This window comes from Homo sapiens, chromosome 17, assembly GCF_000001405.40.
Source record: "Homo sapiens chromosome 17, GRCh38.p14 Primary Assembly".
Classification (NCBI taxonomy): Eukaryota; Metazoa; Chordata; class Mammalia; order Primates; family Hominidae; genus Homo; species Homo sapiens.
Genome location: NC_000017.11, coordinates 67,913,215 through 67,933,496, shown reverse-complemented (window position 1 = coordinate 67,933,496; position 20,282 = coordinate 67,913,215). Strand labels below are relative to the sequence as shown.

Here is a 20,282-nt window from a genome sequence, read left to right as displayed (position 1 = left end):
TCTGGGCTCAAGCAATCCTCCCATCTCAGCCTACCAAGTAGCTGGGACTACAGGCGTGCTCCAGGATGCCTGGCTAAATTTTTATTTTTTGTAGAGATGGGGTCTCCCTATGTTGCCCAGACTGGTCTCCAACTCCTGGCTTCAAGTGATCCTCTTGCCTCAGCCTCCCAAAGTTTTGGGATTACAGGCTTTAGCTACTGTGCCTGGCCATGATCTTTACCTTTTTTTTTTTTTCCTTCAGACGGAGTCTCACTCTTTTTGCCCAGGCTGGAGTACAGTGGCACAATCTCGGCTCACTGCAACCTCCGCCTCCTGGGTTCAAGCGACTCTCCTGCCTCAGCCTCCCGAGTAGAGTAGCTGGGATTACAGGCGCCCACCTCCACACCCAGCTAATTTTTGTATTTTTAGTAGAGATAGGGTTTCCCCATGTTGGCCAGGATGGTCTCAAACTCCTGACCTCAGGTGATCTGGCCTGCCTTGGCTTCCCAAAGTGCTGGGATTACAGGCATGAGCAACTGCGCCTGGCTGATCTTTTTTACCTTTAAGCCAATAAAAAATGACTCTTTTTCATAAATTTTTCCTTTTTATTAAACATTGAATTTTATTCTGCCCAGTATCAGTAGGGCCATCCTTGTCTTTTCTTTCTTTTTATGGCCTTTATTTCATGTGCCTGTGTCCATCTCTAGTTTTTTTATCTTTTGTAGCTTTTGTAGTAATTTGATTTTAGCTAAATTTCTCATAAATGTATAGGGTTTAAAAAAAAATCTTTAACATTTTCAACTTTTTTTTCTTTTTTGAGACAGGGTCTCACTCTGTTGCCCAAGCTGGAGTGCAGTGGCATGATCTTGGCTCACTGCAACCTCTGCCTCCTGGTTTCAAGCGATTCTTCCACCTCGGCCTCCCAAGTAGCTGGGATTACAGGTGCATGAGGCACCACGCCCAGCTAATTTTTTAATATTTTTAGTAGAGATGGCATTTTGCCATGTTGGCCAGGCTGGTCTTGAACTCCTGGGCTCAAGTGATACTCCTGTCTTGGCCTTCCAAAGTGGGATTACAGGGGAGAGTCACCTAGCCTGGCCAGTCTTCAACTTTTAAAATGGTAGTTTTAATGTATTCTCATTAAGAGTAATAAATGAACATCTGGCACTGCATTTGTAATTTTGTTTTATATGTTTCTTTGCTATCTCCTTGATTTTCTGTCTTTTGCTATACGGACTGTTTTCTTTACTTCAATTATATATTTTATTTATTAGTGATTTCTGTTACATTTTTAATAAGCATACTTCAACCTATTTTACTGTCAATGTCAAAATGAAATAATATCAATGAATAGAGCTCACAATGGATTAGAAATTTAGTATGCTTTGAAGTACTAATTAAAATTATATTTCTCGTATGTAGTGCCAAATGCAGAGAATTACGTATTTCCTAGACTGGCTGTTGAGATGTAAAATGATAATGCTGGATGGATAAATACCTGGCTGTACCATCACAGGTGTTCGAATAATTGCCTTTCCTAGTGTTGACTGTTGGAGTGGTGTTCTAATCACGGTCATACCAGGGCGAATCTGAGGCCCTGTGATTACCTATAAATGACACAAAGAACAATGAATTAAAATGCTTTAAAAAGATTAAAGTATAATGGACTTAGAACACAAGATCTTTAAACATTCTATATTAATAAAAATGTTTACAGGAATGACAGGGGCTCTTGAACATTACATTTTAAATTGTATTAAACATCAGAATAAAGACGGAATTTTGAGGAAAGAAAACTTAATTCAAATGCTATCATACAAAATTCCCTGCCACTGATACCAAAATAGCCTATGGAATAAAAGGAAGGAGCATGTGCCAGCGAGGCTCTGCTCTGTAACTAGTGCTCACAGGAAAATGTGGAGTCGCACTTTCTGTAAGCTCCAGACCATACCTGTAACCCACAGAATATAACAGGAAGATCAGAAACCAAATGTTCTTTCATAGTTTTTTAAAAATTATTTATTTATTTATTTATTTATTTTAAAGACAGGGTCTCACTCTGTTGCCCAAGATGGAATGCAGTGATGCAATCACAGCTCATCGTAGCCTGGCTCACTCCTGGGCTTAAGCAATCCTCCTGCCTCAGCCTCCCAAGAAGCTAGGACTATGGGTGAATGGCACCATGTCCGGCTAATCATTCATTCATTCATTCATTTACTTATTTAGAGACAGTCTTGCTTATTTATTTATTTAGAGACAGAATCTCGCTCTTTCGCCCAGGCTGGAGTACAGTGGCACAATCTTGGCTCACTACAACCTCCGCCTCCCGGGTTCAAGCAATTCTCCTGCCTCAGCCTCCCAAGTAGCTGGGATCACAGGCGTGTGCCACCACACCCAGCTAATTTTTGTATTTTTAGCAGAGACAGGGTTTCACCATATTGACCAGGATGGTTTCGATCTCTTGACCTTGTGATCCGCCCCCCTTGGCTTCCCAAAGTGCTGGGATTACAGGTGTGAGCCACCGCATCCGGCCCAGCTAATCTTTGAACTTTTTTTTTTTTTTGAGACAGAGTCTCACTCTGTCACTTAGACTGCAGTGCAGTGGCACCATCTCAGCTCACTGTGGCCTCTGCCTTGTGGGTTCGAGCAATTCTCGTCCCTTACCCTCCCAAGCAGCTGGGAATAGCTGGGACTACAGGCACATGCCACCATGCCCAGCTAATTTTTTGTATTTTTAGTAGAGATGGGGTTTTGCCATTTTGTTTAGGTGGTTCTCGAACTCCTGGCCTCAAGTGATCCTCTCGCCTCAGCCTCCCAAAGTGCTGGCATTACAGGCTTGAGCTACTGCCCCTGGTCCTTTCATAGTTTTAAAAGGGAAACTAGAAAGTATTTTATTTTCAGTTTTATAGTTAGGTTCAGAACATTTTCAAAAATTTAAAACTTTAAACCTTTTTCCACAATGCTAGTCTACAAAACTTTAAGCCTTTTCCATACTAGTAACAAAGAAATTACATATCTGGGCCAGGTGCAGTGGCTCAGGCCTGTAATCCCAGCACTTTGGGAGGCCGAGACAGGTGGATCACCTGAGGTCAGGAGTTTGAGACCAGCCTGACCAACATGGTAAAACCCCATCTCTACTAAAAATACAAAAATTAGCCAGGCATGGTGGTGGGTGCCTGTAATCCCAGCTACTTGAGAGGCTGAGGCAGGAGAATCGCTTGAACCCAGGAGGTGGAGTTTGCAGTGAGCAGAGATCATGCCATTGCATTCCAGCCTGGGGAACAAGATTGAAACTCTGTCTCAAAAAAAGAAATGATGTATCTAATATGTGCACATATCAGCTGATAACAAACTAGTTAACAGTACTGTAGATTACTTTTTAATTTTTTTTTTTTTTTTTTTGAGACAAGGTCTGGCTCTATTGCCCAGGCTAGAGTGTGGTGGCACAATCTCAGCTCACTGCAACCTTCCCCTCCCAGGCTCAAGCCATCCTCCCACCTCAGCCTCCTGAGGTGCTGGGACTACAGGTAAGCACCACCACGCCTGGCTAATTTCTGTATTTTTTGTAGAGATGGGGTTTTGCCATGTTGCCCAGGCTGGCCCTGTACTCCTGAGCTCAAGTGATCCACCCGCCTTGGCCTCCCAAAGTGTTCGGATTACAGGCGTGAGCCGCCGCACCTGGCCCAGCATTTTAAATTTGATTTCTTAGCGAGCCTGCACAGCACACTTCCGTGGGTGGTCTAGTGCTGTCCACTGTTTTACATAAAGAAATTTTCTTTATAAAATCCTAGAAAGCAATTATTATTCTTCATAAACCATACTAATGTGTCATTAACTGTTAGACATTAATACTTCATGTATCATTTTCACTTATCAGAAATATAACAGATTTTTTTCCAAATCAGTACTCTGTCACAGATTCAGTAATAGGCAAAGGAAACTGAGTTGGATTAATCTTGGAAGAAGTCATTCTAAAAATAATGTGATGTGCTCAACACATCAAACCAAATAAGTCTGTAAGAATTCTTACTTGTGAATTGCTTGTGGTTCCTCCAGAGCCTGAGGTATTGGGCCTAATTGTGACTGTTGCTGTCCTGGGCTGGAATGAAGTAAAGGTTTGCTGACTGGTACCTGTACTTGATGGAATGATACCCAGGACTTTCTGCTGTACTTGAACAACGCCTTAAAAAAAGATGAAGCCATAATTAAAAACTATCACTTTATTGGAAAGCATTACGTGGTGCTCGGTTGCTGAGGAGAAACTACGTGTGGCAGGGTTTTATAGTGGGCTACATAGAATGTGAGATCCGAGGACTGAAATCAGTGAAAAGGAGATGAAAAATAATGGCAACAGTATGATCTGGCAAATGTGAATTAAAACTTCACATTTCCCTTACCTCCTTGTGTTGCTGGCACATTTACAGCGACAATCTTGCTGTTTGCAGGAAGTGGCAGTTTGGTAATTACTTTTCCTGCCATAGTGACTGGATTGCCTGTAATTTGGAACGTCTGACCTGTGCTGGCAATGGTTGTAGCAGATGTGGCAGCTGTGCTGGTGGCTAATGGGGTATAAGACATTTAATAAGCTTTAGATTTAAAATAACCAGCAACGTAGTGACTTCTAGGAAAGGGCACCAATGCATGAAATGTGGCTCATTTTGTATTTTTAATAAAAACATTCCTCTCCACTCAAAGTGAACTATGTAAATGTTGAAAGTGAAATAATGTAAGAGAGGAGTTTGCTAATGTAATATTATGAACATTATTTGTAACAAACCAACCGTTACAGCTTGTTTGCTCAACTGGCTGCAAAAGAAAAACAATCTTCTAAAAAAATGTTTCATTTCAGTAGCTAAAGGGTTGAAAATTCTTTTTCCTGAACCAAAGTAATCTTTTACTTAATGATAGTTCCATACCTGAATTTGACTGGCCTTGCTTAACCCATGTAGCAAAGGTTTGATGAAAGTTCTTGTTTTGTTGGAATGTTACTGTAGCTGGAGATCCAACTTTAGTAGTTAGTACCATTTTGGTTCCAGTTGTAACTGAGCCACTTATGGGGGCCACCATAACCTTCTGTGCTGGAGAGATGGTGCTGGTTGTACTGCTTGTTGGGGAAGTAGTGGAAGTTGCAATCACTGTCGGCTTCTGCTGCTCCAGTCGTTTCTAAAAAAGTGAAGGAGAGGAAACATGAATCAAAATAGTTCTAAATAAAAACAATACCATTCTACAAGAAGTCTGTCCACAATTTCTCTCACCTTAAGAAATTCCACTACATTTCTGAAGTATTTTACTTCCAAAAAGAATATATGTCCATATAAATTTACCCGTATTTATGGCTGGCTGCGGTGGCTCACACCTGTAATCCTAGCACTCTGGGAGGCTGAGGTGGGTGGATCACCTGAGGTCAGGAGTTCGAGACCAGCCTGGCCAATATGGTGAAACCCCACCTCTACTAAAAATACAAAAATGAGCTGAGCATTCTGGCTCATGCCTGTAATTCTAACTACTCGGGAGGCTGAGGCAGAAGAATTGCTTGAACCCAGGCGGCAGAGGTTGCAGTAAGCTGAGATCATGCCACTGCACTCCAGCCTGGGTGACAGAGTGACTCCATCTCTAAAAAAAAAAAAATTACCTGAATTTAATTTCTTGATGAAGGCCATATATATATTTTTAATTCCTCCAAGGTACCTATCTATGAAGGCAGTATTTTCATGTCTCTATACCACATATATTACATTAAAAGTACTAAGCTGTTCATAGCAGAAAATTTTATAACAAGTTTTTCTGGCTTGTACAAACATCCAAGGTTTCAGACTGAAAACAACAGAGATGTGGGTAAGCTTATTGGAGACAGAAACACCATGCTGCTCAGCGGTGAGATTCAGAGCTGAGAACAAATGGAGCTGTGAAAGGTTTCTGTTTCACTGTAATATTAATTTATCCAACTATAAAAACATGTCAATAGTTAATGACACTATTATTAAAGTTGGCAAACCTGCAATCAAGCAAGCTGAAAATTATAAAAGTTTTTCTAGACTTCTTCTATTATACATTCAAATATTTTTACAGAAAAATACTTTATACTATACAGAGTAGTATAATACAATCTTTAAAACTACAGGTATTAAAGATATTCTGTATATCTTTTATTATAGATTGCTAAACTTTTCTAACAGCTTATCAACAGTGGTGTGATAAGTAACAATATAACCACACACATGTAAAACAACAGGTGAAATTTATTTCAAACCTGGTGGCAGATGCTTTACCTTCATTATCTTATAAGATGAGGAAACGGAGACTAGAGAGGTTGTGTAACTGGCCCAAGGCCACAGAGCTAGTTAAGGGTGATGTTGGGATGTCTGCTAAAATCAAATTCCAATCCTGCACCACTATCTCCTGCCTTTGACATAGGTGAGCCTCCTGCTCACCTATGACATCACGTCCAATTTTTTTAGGACTACTTTTGTACCTATCCTATATACCTGAATATAATATAAAGTACTTTACACAATTTCTCATTCCTCAGAAGAAAAAGAGCTTAGTTTTCAACTCTTAGAGACATCATCTGATTAAATCAGTTAAAAAAAGAAAGAAAAAAAAAAAGAGGGAGGCAAAGGTGGGTGTGGTAGTGTTTCTGTAGCTCCAGCTACTCAGGAGGCTGAGGCCGGAGGATCACCTTAAGCCAGGAATTCAAAGTTGCAATGAGCTATGATCTCACCACTACACTCCAGCCTCAGCAACAGAGCAAGCCCCTATCTCTAAAAAAAAAGGAGGCAAAGAAATAGAACAGATATATTAGTACTTATTTATAGGAGGATATGCCTTCAAAGTTGAAGTGTTAGCTATATTCATAAATAAGCATCTTAAATAAATTTTTTAAAGTAATATACTGGCTGGGTGCGGTGGCTCACGCCTGTAATCCCAGCACTTTGGGAGGCCAAGGCAGGCGGATCACGAGGTCAGGAGATCGAGACCATCCTGGCTAACACAGTGAAACCCCGTCTCTACTAAAAATACAAAAAATTAGCCAGGCGTGGTGGCGGGCGCCTATAGTCACAGTTACTCGGGAGGCTGAGGCAGGAGAATGGCGTGAACCCGGGAGGCGGAGCTTGCAGTAAGCCGAGATCGCGCCACTGCACTCCAGCCTGGGTGACAGAGTGAGACTCCATCTCAAAAAAAAAAAAAAAAAAAAAAAAAAGTAGTATATTAGGGCCAAATGCAGTGGTGCTCGCTATCTCAGCACTTTGGGAGGCCCTGGTAGGCAGATCGCTTGAGCTCAGGAGTTCAAGACTAGCCTGGGCAATATGGCAAAAGTCCTATCTCTACAAAAAACACAAAAATCAGCCAGACACGGTGGTGCATGCCTGTAGTCCCAGTTACTTGGGAAGCTGAGGTGGGTAGATTGCTTGAGCCCAGGAGATTGAGAATGTGGTGAGCCATGATCGTGCCACTGCACTCCAGCAGCCTGGGCAAGAGAGTGAGACCTTGTCTCAAAAAAAAAAAAAAAAAAAAAAAAAAAAAAGTAATATGTTAGGTTACATTGCAGAGATGAGAAAACACACCCAATAAAATAAAAAACAATACAACTAGCCAGTTGTTATAGATATTTGGGTTTAGTGATTGGTTTCCTGTGACAGACAGCATCATACATAGAATCCAAAAGTGCTATCATCTCAAACTTTGATGTAAGTGAAGATAAGGACCTATAGTAAACTGAAAGATACACAAGAATTTGAAAAAATGTTTTATAAAATGAAAGGGAAAACTAGTTTGAAACAAATAATTTGGTTTATATATGATTTTTAAATAGTTATGTATAACTATGTTAATAATACTGTATATAGATATATCTACTCACTTGTATCCTCAATGTTTATATACTGAAGTTGGTAAAAACTCTTACAGTATTTTCTCAATAGGAATAAGTGGTAATCATCTTTTATTCAGGTCCTCAATGTTTAGGCACATATGGCACATTGTATTTTTATTTTTAAAATTTTGCTTTTTTCTTTTATTAGAGACAGGGTCTCCCTATGTTGCCCAGGCTGGTCTCAAACCCCTGGACTCAAGGGATCCTCCTGCCTTGGACTTCCAAAATGCTGGGACTACAGGCATGAGCCACTGTGCCTGGCCATGGCACATTATTTATAGTATGAAAACACTAAGAAACCATCAGTAGCTTTATAATAATCAATTACAACAAACTCTTATGGAGTTTTAGCATACTTTGCTTTTTCATAGACTACAGAAATTTTCCAGATTGGAAATTCACAAGAAAAAATTATTTTCAGAAATTACTTATGAAACTCTAAAGATAATAAATAATAGAAATCTTATTTCAGATGTCCTCCAAATATGTATACTTTTTACAAAACCACAGCTTGGTGTACCCACAGAGCTGTTTTCAAATAATGACAATAAGATAGACGTGAGATACACTTAAAAAAAAAAAAAAAAAAAAAACCTGGATGGGTGCAATGGCTCACACCCAAAATCCCAGCACTTTGGGAGGCTGAGGCAGGTGGATCGCTTGAGTCCAGGAGTTTAAGACCAGCCTGGGGAACACGGCGAAGCCCTATCACTACAAAAAATACAAATATTAGCTGGGCATGGTGGTGTGTGCCTGTAGTCTCAACTACTAGGGAGGCTGAGGACCGCTTGAACCAGGGATGTCGAGGCTCGGTGAGCTGTGATCTACTCCAGCCTGGGTGATAGTAAGACACTGTCTCAAAAAAATAAACACCAAAACCCACAAGAATGTATCATTACTGTGCATGGGTGTGCATGAATTTGGCTAAAAAATGTATGTATGTTGTCAAGTGGGACCAGCACCAACTCCCCCTGCTGATGGGAGGTCAAGTGCTTTTGTTTTGAAAGAGCCTCCATTTGGGCCTTGATGTCCTCTGCCTTCTTCTGTTCACTAACCTTAGCCTGTTGCTCAACTGCTTGTGCCTTTTCTTTCTCCACTCTGCAGGAAAAAAAGGAGAAACTTATCAGAAACTAGCCTGTTAGGCATCTGGCATCTAATAAGAGTGAAATCTGGTTGATTTTCACATCATACAAAGGTATGATATTATCTCAATTTAAAAATAAAACATTTGGTTGTGCGAGGTGGCTCATGCCTGTAATCCCAGCACTGTGGGAGGCCAAGGCAGGCAGATCACTTGAGGTCAAGAGTTCAAGACCAGCCTGGCCAACATGGTGAAACCCTGTCTCTACTAAAAATACAAAAGTTAGTCGGAGCTGGGCACAGTGGCTCAGGCCGGGTGCGGTGGCTCATGCCTGTAATCCCATCATTTTGGGAGGCCGAGGCAGGTGGATTGCTTGAGATCAGGAGTTCGACCCATCTCTACTAAAAATACAAAAAAATTAGCCAGGCATGGTGGTGGCCACCTGCCTGAGGCAGGAGAACTGCTTGAACCTGGGAGGTGGAGTTTGCAGTGAGCCGAGATTGTGCCACTGCACTCCAGCCTGGATGACAGAGCGAGACTCCGTCTTAAAAAAAAACAGCCAGGCGTGGTGGCACATGCCTGTAATCCCAGCTACTTGGCAGGCTGAGGCAGGAGAATTGCTTGAATCTGGGAGGTTGCAGTAAGCCAAGATCGCGCCACTGCACTCCAGCCTGGGGGACAGAGTGAAACTGTCTCAAAAATAAAATAAAATAAAAAATAAAGATAAAACATTTATGGTCATTAGAAATCGACAAATGGACAACACATTAAAAATAAGAGAGAGGGCCGGGCGCGGTGGCTCACACTTGTAATCCCAGCACTTTGGGAGGCTGAGGCAGGTGGATTACCCAAGGTCAGGAGTTCGAGACCAGCCTGGCCAACATGGTGAAACCCCGTCTCTACTAAAAATACAAAAATCAGCCGGGCATGGTGGCACACCCCCGTAATCCCAGCTACTCAGGAGGCTGAGGCAGAATTGCTTGAGCCCAGGAGGCAGAGGTTGCAGTGAGCCGAGATCATGCCACTGCACTCCAGCCTAGCTGACAGAGCGAGACTCTGCTTCAAAAAAAAAAAAAAAAAAAAAAAAAAAAAGACAGAGAGAGAGGACCTTACTAAACTATTTACAGCTAGCACTTAAAATCAAAGGTGGAGTAAAGTCAAGCTAGGACTTTACTGCACTGAATAAATGATTAAAGTGTTCTTTTACCCCAGGCAGGGTAGCTCATGCCTGTAATCCCAGCACTTTGGGAGGCCAAGTTGGGTGGATTGCTTGAGCCCAGGAGTTCAAGATCAGCCTGAACAACATAGCAAAACCCCATCTCTGTACAAAAAATACAAACATTAGCTGGGCGTGGTGGCATGCACCTGTAGTCCTAGGTACCGGGGAGGCTGAGGTGGGAGGATCACTCGAGCCTGGGAGGCAGAGGTTGCAGTGAGCCAAGATTGTGCCACTGCACTCCAGCCTGGGTGACAGAGCAAGATCCTGTCTCAAAAAAAAAAAAAAAAAGTAATTTATTGATTCTGAAGTGATAAAATCTTCAAATAGCTGACCAGGTATTAACCATTTCCTTACCTCTCAGCAAATGCCCTGATCTCCCACAATTCCAGTTCTTCTTCTGCTACCCAGGTTTCAATAATAACAGGGCCAGTTTGCTTGGGCGTTTCTGGTCTCTTTGGCCGCAGTGCACTTGATCGAAGGCCTTTCCTCTGAGGTGTAGGCGTTTCTTTGGAAAGGAAATCAGAATATTTTAAGCAATATTGCTTCTAAAATTAAAGTACTTCTGGCATCTTCTATCATGAAAAAGTGGTTGGCAAACTTCTTAAATAGCCAGATGGTCTCTGCTGCAGCTACTCAGCTGTGCCTTTGTATCATGAAAGCAGCCAAAGACAATACGTAAGTGAGTAAATGTGGCTGTGTTCCAATCAAATTTCATTTATAAAAGCAGGGTAGGCCAAGGCTCATGGGCTGTGGTTTGCTGACCCCCAAAATACAAGGCTTATGAGCCTTTATACAACCTGTTTCTTCCACCTGGAGCACTATTCCAAGCCTCCACCGCTCATCTGACTAATGTCAATTCATCCTCTGGACCCCAACATGAATTCAACTTCCTACAAAAGCCTAGCATGTTCTTCTCACACTTGGGTGTACAACATGTGTTTCCCTATCACCGCACAGAGAAGGGGGATTTGAGAGTTACCAATATAAAGTGGAGATGTGAAACCTAAGAATAGATAAAATCTCCTCATAAAAAGATTTAAAAAATAAAAAGCAGGGAGGGACAAGCATTGAACCTTCCCATATATTCAATCACAAGGAAGCAGCAGAAGGAAACAGAAATGAAAGCAGGACCTGAATTGTACAAAGGGATACAAGCCAAAGAGAAGTGATTTTAGGGGACTGCAGTGGTTTGCATCAAAGGCTGTGGGGTCAAGGAGACTGAAGGCCTGCCAGGTACATCTCCCATCTGTGTCTCTGCCCATCAACAGAGCTGTTTCTGTGCCAGGACGACCTTGTGATTTTGTTTTTTTTTTGGAGACAGAGTCTTGCTCTGTTGCCCAGGCTGGAGTACAGTGGTGTGATCTCGGCTCACTGCAACACCCCCATCCTGGGTTTACCAATTCTCGTGCCTCGGCCTCCCGAGTAGCTGGGACTACAGGTGTGTAATACCATGTCCCGCTAATTTCTGTATTTTTAGAAGAGACAGGGTTTCAACATGTTGGCCAGGCTGGTCTTGAACTCCTGACCTCAAATGACCCACCCGCCTTGGCCTCCCAAAGCGCTGGAATTACAGGCGGAAGCCACCGCACCTGGCCGCTGTTTTAAGTAAGCTAAAATTTATCATCTACTAGGAACAGGTATTACTTCATTGGTACTCTTTTCAAAAAGGTTATTCTCCAAGAAGAACTCCCAAGTTAATTTAATCAAGTTTCAAAAATTAATTGTATACATTTGGGGAGAACTAACTTTTATAAAAACACTACGTTTCTATCTAAGGACATTATCTTTTTATTTATTTATTTATTTATTTATTTACTTGGAAATGGAGTCTCACTCTGTTGCCCATGCTAGAATGCAGTGGCACAATCTTGGCTCACTGCAACTTCTGCCCCCTGGGTATAAGTGATTCTCCCGCCTCACCCTCCCAAGTAGCTGGGACTACACGTGTGTACCACCACACCTGGCTAATTTTTTGTATTTTTAGTAGAGATGGGGTTTTGCTATGTTGGCCAGGCTGGTCTCAAACTCCTGATCTCAAGTGATCTGCCCGCCTCGGCCTCCCAAAGTGCTGGGACTACAGGCTTGAGCCACATGCCTGGCCTGTATTTCTTTTTTTTTTTTTTTTTTTTTTTTTTGACACGGATTCTCAATCTGTTACCCAGACTGGAGTGCAGTGGTGTGATCTCAGCTCACTGCAACCTCCACTTCCCAGGCTCAAGCAATTCTCGGGCCTCAGCCTCCTGAGTAGCTGGGATTACAGGCATGCACATTACCAATATTTTTGTAATTTTTGTATGTTTTGTAGGGATAGGGTTTCACTACATTGTCTAGGCTGGGCTCGAACTCCTGGACTCAAGTAATCCACCTGTCTCGGCCTCCCAAAGTCCTGGAATTACAGGTGTGAGCCACTGTACCTGGCCTTTTATATATTTCTTACTAGGTTTTTTCCTAAATATTTTTATTGTTTATATAAAATAAAATGGAATTTATATATTTTCAATCTGGATACTACAATGAACTCCTATTAGTGCTAATACTTTTAATTCTCATGAATTTTCTAAGTAGACATTCATAATTATCTATAAATTAGTGTTAATCTTCTTTTCCAATATTACTCTCTTAGCTTACTGCAACACATATAACACTGATATTATAATACTATAAGCTTTACTTTGCTTCCTTGAGATTAGGGGCCAAATATCATTCTTCTATGTATTTGCCACCCAGTGCCTATTGTACTGGTGCTCTATAAACATTTTTTGAGTAACTCTTTATGCCTCTTGGATTATCTCTACCTTGAGCACTGAAGTATTTCACAGTAGTTTTAATCCTTAAGAAACCTTTATTGACCCACTTACATATCAGACTCGGTACTAGCTGCCGTGACTTCAATAAACCAGACAGACGAGATGGCTGCTCTCCAGGAGCTGCTGGTCTGGGGTCAATCAATGTCTCACATCTTAATTACAAGAGGTATTATTATAGCCCTTTGCTGTGCTTAGAACAAGGCTTATAGGCATCGATGTGTGTCTACCAGAATCTTGATATGTTTATTACTTTAATATCATTTTCAAAATTTGGTAGTTGTAAAATATGTCTTTTTTAAAAGGTGAACAGAGAAGAAAAAATTATATCAAATTTCAATTCATAAAATACATGGTTAACAGGTTAATCATGAAAGAATAGAATTCTATTTCTTACCTTTTGGTGTTTCTGGAACTCCAATGGGACAAATGATTTTCCTGATACAATATTCAGATCGAATGCCATAAGGACCAACATCTCTCCTCTTAATTATTTCTGTTGTTGTGATTTCAGTTTCGGATGTTTCTATGGTGATTTAATTCAATAGTATTAATAACCAACTGAAATACTCAGAGACTAAAAAGGTACATCTGGTGCTTTCAAAAAGAGACACACGTGGAATAAACTTTTGGAAACACCTGACTTAATTAACAGGATCACTAACATCTAGCAGGATCACTGCTAGACTGCAACAATACTGAGCTTCTTCCTCGCTGCAAATTCCTAAACGAAACAAAATGCTGCTGGGTATAGCTGAGCTCCTGGTGGCAATACTCAATCAAAATAATAAAAAGCCTAGGACAGAAGCAGCAAGCACAGGCCTCCAGAAGTCTTAGTTTAAATTTTTAATTAAACAATCATAAATATCTTTTAAAAAATGTAGACTGGTTCACACATAAGTGACTCACTTTATAATCTGAACCTTCCCTTCTGGCCCCTGGGATTTTATAGCATGTGCCAAACTTCAACAAAGCTGTATGTGAAAAAAAAATTTTTTTTAAGAGACAGGGTTTTGCTCTGTTATCCAGACTGGAAGACATTAGTGGACCACAGTCACTGCAACCTTGAACTCCTGGCTCAAGCAATCCTCCTGGCCCCAGCCTCCCAAGTGGCAGGGACTACAAACACAAGGCCTAGTTGATTTTTTTCTTTTTAAATTAGAGTTTTGAAGAGACAAGGTCTCGTTATGTTGTCCAGGCTGGTCACAAACTCCTGGCCTCAAGTGATCCTCCTGCCTTGGCCTCCCAAAGTGCTAGGATTACAGGTGAGAGCCACCACACATGGCCAAAACTGTATTTCTAAAAAACAAGCATTATATTTTATTATTATTATTATTATTATTATTATTATTATTATTATTATTATTTTGAGACAGAGTCTCACTCTGTCGCACTGGCTGGAGTGCAGTGGCACAATCTCAGCTCACTGTAAGCTCCGCCTCCCAGGTTCACGCCATTCTCCTGCCTCAGCCTCCCGAGTAGCTGGGACTACAGGAGCCCACCACCACGCCCAGGTAATTTTTTGTATTTTTAGTAGAGACGGGGTTTCACCATGTTAGCCAGGATGGTCAGGATCTCCTGACCTCATGATCCACCTGCCTCAGCCTCCCAAAGTGCTGGGATTACAGGCATGAGCGCCCACGCCTGGCCTGTGATTTTAGCTTTTAAACTTAAATTAGAAAATAACTCCCTTCCCCCTTACCTGTCCGTGTAGTCCCTCCTCCTGGAGGAGCCTTGGCCGCCATATCATCCCATCTCAAACTTGCCCACAGTAACCGTAACATCAGGCTCACTCCAGCTAAGGACTTTACTGTCTGAAGTCTATACCTGAAAGGAAAACCAAAGAAATCCATATATATCTATATGTATATACATACACATACACATTCATATTCACTCTACTAAACTGAAGGGCTGTGTTTCTTGTCCTCATTAGGACTCCAGTATTTATAATATGGTTTTGTAAGACTTTGGTATTATATGTCCTTTAAAAGAAAAACTTCTTCATTCATAGGCATAACACGCACCTAACATTTTTTTTTAAAAGGGGCTATATTCATTTTAAATGCCATATAAGTTTATAAAATGAGAATGTTTCATTGTAAGGTTGATAAGGCAAAAATTCATGAAGACTTTATAAAGTTAACCTAATTCCAAAATATCTGTTAGGAAAATTTTGGGGACCAAATATAGAGAAATAGATAATTGTTATTAAATGTGATAAAGGAGTTTTGAAGGAAAAATCCTAACTTTTGCAAAAACAAGAAACCTGAAAATGTTTAAATTTTCTAAAAGAATAAAATGAGGTCAGATGCGGTGGCTCACGCCTGTAATCCCAGCACTGTGGGAGGCCGAGGTGGGCAGATCACCTGAGGTCAGGAGTTCGACACCAGCCTGACCAATATGGCAAAACCCCATCTCTATTAAAAATACAAAACTTAGGGCCGGGCATGGTGGCTCATGCCTGTAATCCCAGCACTTTGGGAGGCCGAGGTGGGCAGATCACAAGGTCAGGAGATTGAGACCACGGTGAAACCCCATCTCTACTAAAAATACAAAAAATTAGCCAGGCGCGGTGGTGGGTGCCTGTAGTCCCAGCTACTCGGGAGCCTGAGGCAGAAGAACGGCGTGAACCTGGGAGGTGTAGCTTTCAGTGAGCCAAGATCCGGCCACTGCATTCCAGCCTAGGCGACAGAGCGAGACTCTGTCTCAAAAACAAAACAAAACAAAAAATACAAAACTTAGTTGGGCATGGTGGTGCATGCCTGTAATCCGAGCTACTTGGGAGGCTAAGGCAGGAGAATCAATTGAACCCAGGAGGCAGAGGCTGCAGTGAGCCAAGATCATGCCATTGCACTCTAGCCTGGGCGACAAGAGTGAAACTCTGTCTCTAAATTAATTAATTAATTAATTAATTAATTAAATTAAACCAAAAACATCTTACAAATCTAGTAAGACCTTTCCAAACGGACAAAAACATTCTGCATCCAAATGGTGGTTATTCAAAACATGAACAACTGGATGATGAATAAAGTTAATACTAATAAAACTTTAACAGCATTAGTGTAGTTTTCAAATTCTACAATGAATAGTAAAATATTAGAAAAAGGACAATATCAGCTGGGCGCAGTGGCTCACACCTGTAATCCCAGCACTTTGGGAGGCCAAGGTGGGGGGATCACGAGGTCAGGAGTTTGAGACCAGCCTGGCCAACATAGTGAAACCCCATCTCTACTAAAACTAAGCTGGGTATGGTGGCGGGCGCCTGTAATCCCAGCTAGTTGGGAGGCTGAGAAAGAAGAATAGCTCGAACCCAGAGGGCAGAGGTTGCAGTGAGCCGAGATCGCTCCACTGCACTCCACCTCGGGCGGCAGTGTGAGACTCTATCTCAAAAAAAAAAAAAAAAAAAGGACAATACCATATTAGTTACTTATCAACAGACAAATCTCTCTGTGTTCATGTTTGTTTCTAAACATTGTGTGTGGAGGTACTAAACGTTTTACACATTCTTAAAAAATACTAAAAACGTATTTCAAAATAAATTTACTTAACTGCATTAAATATCATGTCCTAAAATGGAATTCACTATATATCTTTGTGTAACTGAATACTTTGTTGACATTTTCACTCTACTTAAATGAACTTAGTGGTTGATTATGGTGTAGACAAAGGCTATAAAATAAAAATAATTTCCTCTTCTAACAGAGGTGGAAGGTAAATCTCAAACAACTCTGTATGTAAAAGGCAATGCTTTCTTTTTTTTTTTTTTTTTTTTGAGACAGAGTATTGCTCTGTCACCCAGGCTGGAGTGCAGTGGAGCAATCTTGGCTCACTGAAACCTTCGCCTCCCAGGTTCAAGCAATTCTTCTGCCTCAGCCTCCCGAGTAGCCGGGATTACAGGCGCCCGCCCAAACATCCAGCTAATTTTTGTATATTATTATTATTTTTTTGAGACGGAGTTTTGCTCTTGTCGCTCAGGCTGGAGTGCAATGGCGCGATCTCGGCTCACTGCAACCTCCGCCTCCCGGGTTCAAGTGATTCTCCTGCCTCAGTCTCCTGAGTAGCTGGGATTACAGGCGCCCGCCACCACGCCGGGCTCATTTTTGTATATTTAGTAAAGACGGGGTTTCACCACTTTGGCCAGGCTGGTCTCGAACTCCTGACCTCAGGTGATCCACCTGCCTCGGCCTCCCAAAGTGCTGGGAGGCGTGAGCCCACCTGAAAGACAATGCTTTCTATTGACAGCATTCAGTTGGAAAAATGAACACTGTGAAAGAGAAAGCTCTAGCCAAAAAGTTGCTGCAGCTTCTTAACTTCCCATATCCACTTGTGACACCATTACTTTCTCCACTGTGTTATCGCACTATGAATCCTCTGACCTGGACAGAGCAGGTCAAGGGGAAATCAGAGGGGAAATGTTAACTAGTGCAGGGATGTCCCAAGAGGGGGAAAGTGTCTGTCACTTTCAGACCATACCCCATAGTAATTCCTAGAGATCTTTAGTGTCACAGGAGAAAGCAAATAAATATTTATTTGCAAGGAAAAGTTTGTCCTCATTCTCTGTGGTCAAACAATGACTTTAAAGTATCCTTATTTTAAAATGGAAATAACACCAGGGAGGAACACACCACATGCACGGTAAGTCTGCTCATTCAAGCATTCATTCAAAAAATACTTGAGCATCTTCTATGTGTTAGACTATGTGAAAGGAGCTGGGGACACAGAGGTAAACTAGAATCTGTCTGTGTTCTCAAGGAGCTGTAAGAGAGGAAAGGACAAGGGAGGGACATCTGAGTTGGCTCGGGAATGAGGATCAGAGCTTTGCTGGAGTCTCAAAGGACAAGTTAAGAGTATGGGGGTTGCTGATCAAAGGCAAGGGGCACACATATGCTAAACAGAACAGTGTGCAGGAGTACACATTTCTTCCCAGAAACCACATCCAGTGTTTTATGACTGGAGGGAAGGGGTGTAGAGGTACAGAAAGAGATGAAGGTGGCATGAGAGAAAAAGGCAGAAGCCAGAATGCGCTGTACCAAAATAAAAGATTAAAGAAGAGCATTAAAGGGTATGTATATTAAGTCCTCTGAGATTTATCCAGTACTGGATGGGTTGTAAAGGGAAGTACTTTCCATGAATGTGATCTACAGGTGACAAATGCTTTCCCCGCTCCTTGCTGCAGTAGTTACCAAGTCCCTTAGCTCAGTCAGACTATTCACAGGATAGAGGGGCATTTTAGGAGAATCTTTCTGGCAGCACTGTGGAGGACAACTATCAGTTCAATGTGAAAATGAAGCACAGAATCAGGGCCTGGGAGGATGGGCATAAGGGAATGGATGGTGTGGAGGGAAAAAGAGGCCCTATTGAGTGTATGAGACAAGTTTTCCAATATTGCTCAGCCTTAACATTAATAACAAAGATCATACATGCATCTTTGGCATTCTTAACTCCTAACCATCAGATGTATTCTATTCTAGTGTTAGTATAAAAATGCATTTCACGTGCATGGCTTTTTATAGCAATATGCTTTTAAAAAATGCATTCTAAAGTCATGATCAATTTACATATTTACCCATGCCTCCATTAGACAGAAAGGATTATGCTTCTCTCAAATATGTTTTGGCAAATTAAGACGTTAGCATACATTTGAAGGCTGTATCAGTTTAAAATGAATGTTTAATGGAAGGTATTTCCTCCCATTAAAAAATGTGAAATCAAGTAATATAAACTGTACCATAGTGCATACTAAGACATGAAATTCAGCTCCAGAAATTCAGCTGTGCAGAACAGGGCCCCGAGCAACACTTGATTGGGACCAGTGCCTAACTCTCCTGGAGAGTTCAGAGAAGAGTGCTTCCCAGTTGAGCCTACCCTCCATTTTAGAATACAAAGAGCAGAAAGGTCGGCCTCCACAACTGCCAGGTCACTTTAATTAAAGTATTTGTACATAGTAACTTTTCCAGTGGGAAAGAAGTTACCTGCAGGACAGTCAAGGATACATTTTGGGACCGCTCTCAATGAAGAAAGCAGAAAAGTGCAGAGTAATCCTATAAATCCATGAATTGTAATGAAGAGTTCCTTGATTCCCTGCAGGATTCTGCAAATCCTTCATTGCAGGCCCTGCAGAGAAATTGTACTTTTCAGCTGTCTCTATTGAATGTGTAATGGAGTGATGATATTTTATTTCAAATCAAAAGATGAGTTATAAAAAACTTGGTCAAACAAACTATGACTGGTTGTATTAATAAATGAATTCCTTTATAGAGAGTACTTACTTTTTTTTCTAGCTGATTGTAATTAATATAAAGGAAACCAAAAAAGTGTGATTTTTAAAGAAATTGGAAAAATATTAAAAGACACACAAAAACGAAGCCTAAGGGGAAATGAAAACGGCTCAGTAACTCGCTGAAATAATTTGAGGGTCCTAGCAAAATCTAACTGCAACTATGACTGATTCTGATTTCTAAAGATGTTCCCAGAACTCTCATGTTTTCAGTGTTTATGTTCCATCCTTCTCAATTACAGGGGTGAAAAGATAAAGACAAGGACATGAAAAAGGAGAAAGCAAGGACACATAAGTGAAATGTGATACAGCAAATAAAGTACTAGACTGGGATTTAGGAAAACCGGGCACTATTCCTGTGTCTCTGTAGCCACAGGCAAATTACTGTACATTTACAAAAGATAAGAATTTCTAAGGTGCCTTCCCAACATAAAACTACATGATTTTACAACTACCAACACTATCTATTTAGGACGCATCCCCTAAACCTAAAGTGCCCAGAAAATTTTAAATTAGGACTATTTCTGGGTTTAAAAAAATTTCTAAGGAATCTTAGAGACTACCTATTCATACATAAATAACAGAGAACTCCAAAACAAATGTTTATCATGCAACTAAGCTACATTAGGAAGATTTTCACATTATGATAAGCTTTATGAAATTTACAGGCGTGTTTATGTCTTATTTTTTATGAATTACCTAATAAAAATAAAATACAAACATTCCAGAAAGTTGGTGGTTATCTTGTTCCCAGAGCAGTAACTCAGAAAATCAGACCACAAAAACAATCACATCTGACATGTTCCTTTTGTCTTATGAAAGTTAAAACTGAATTTCATTTTTAAAATAGTCCCTTAAATTTTAAGACTTTAAACATTTTTCCCTACAAAAACTTTAGTACATTAGTTGGCCAATTTTGAAGCTTTCTGTATCCTGTTTCCATTACTATCTTTGGCCATTAATATGTTTCCTGTCTTATCTCTATTATCTCATTTTTTAAAAATGAGATATTCTTGTGAGATAATTCTTTTTAAAATTTTCTCCCT

At 40.8% G+C, this 20,282-nt stretch overlaps 1 protein-coding gene across 51 annotated transcripts in view; it reads right to left on the bottom strand.

Moving 5' to 3' along the window:
• Positions 1-20,282, bottom strand: part of BPTF (bromodomain PHD finger transcription factor) — a 158,876-nt gene that overhangs the window by 50,882 nt on the left and 87,712 nt on the right. For 30 of the 51 annotated variants that reach the window (XM_005257153.4, XM_047435597.1, NM_001439140.1 and 27 more), the window contains 7 exons: positions 14,659-14,783; positions 13,354-13,482; positions 10,507-10,657; positions 8,908-8,950; positions 4,896-5,142; positions 4,010-4,161; positions 1,478-1,586 (listed from right to left, as the gene is read on the bottom strand). In XM_005257153.4, coding sequence (XP_005257210.1) covers positions 1,478-1,586; positions 4,010-4,161; positions 4,896-5,142; positions 8,908-8,950; positions 10,507-10,657; positions 13,354-13,482; positions 14,659-14,783 — 956 coding nt within the window. Of the gene's footprint in view, positions 1-1,477; positions 1,587-4,009; positions 4,162-4,376; positions 4,539-4,895; positions 5,143-8,907; positions 8,951-10,506; positions 10,658-13,353; positions 13,483-14,658; positions 14,784-20,282 lie in introns of all 51 variants that reach the window. The other 21 variants (XM_005257150.4, XM_005257154.4, XM_005257159.3 and 18 more) reach the window with 1 other exon arrangement.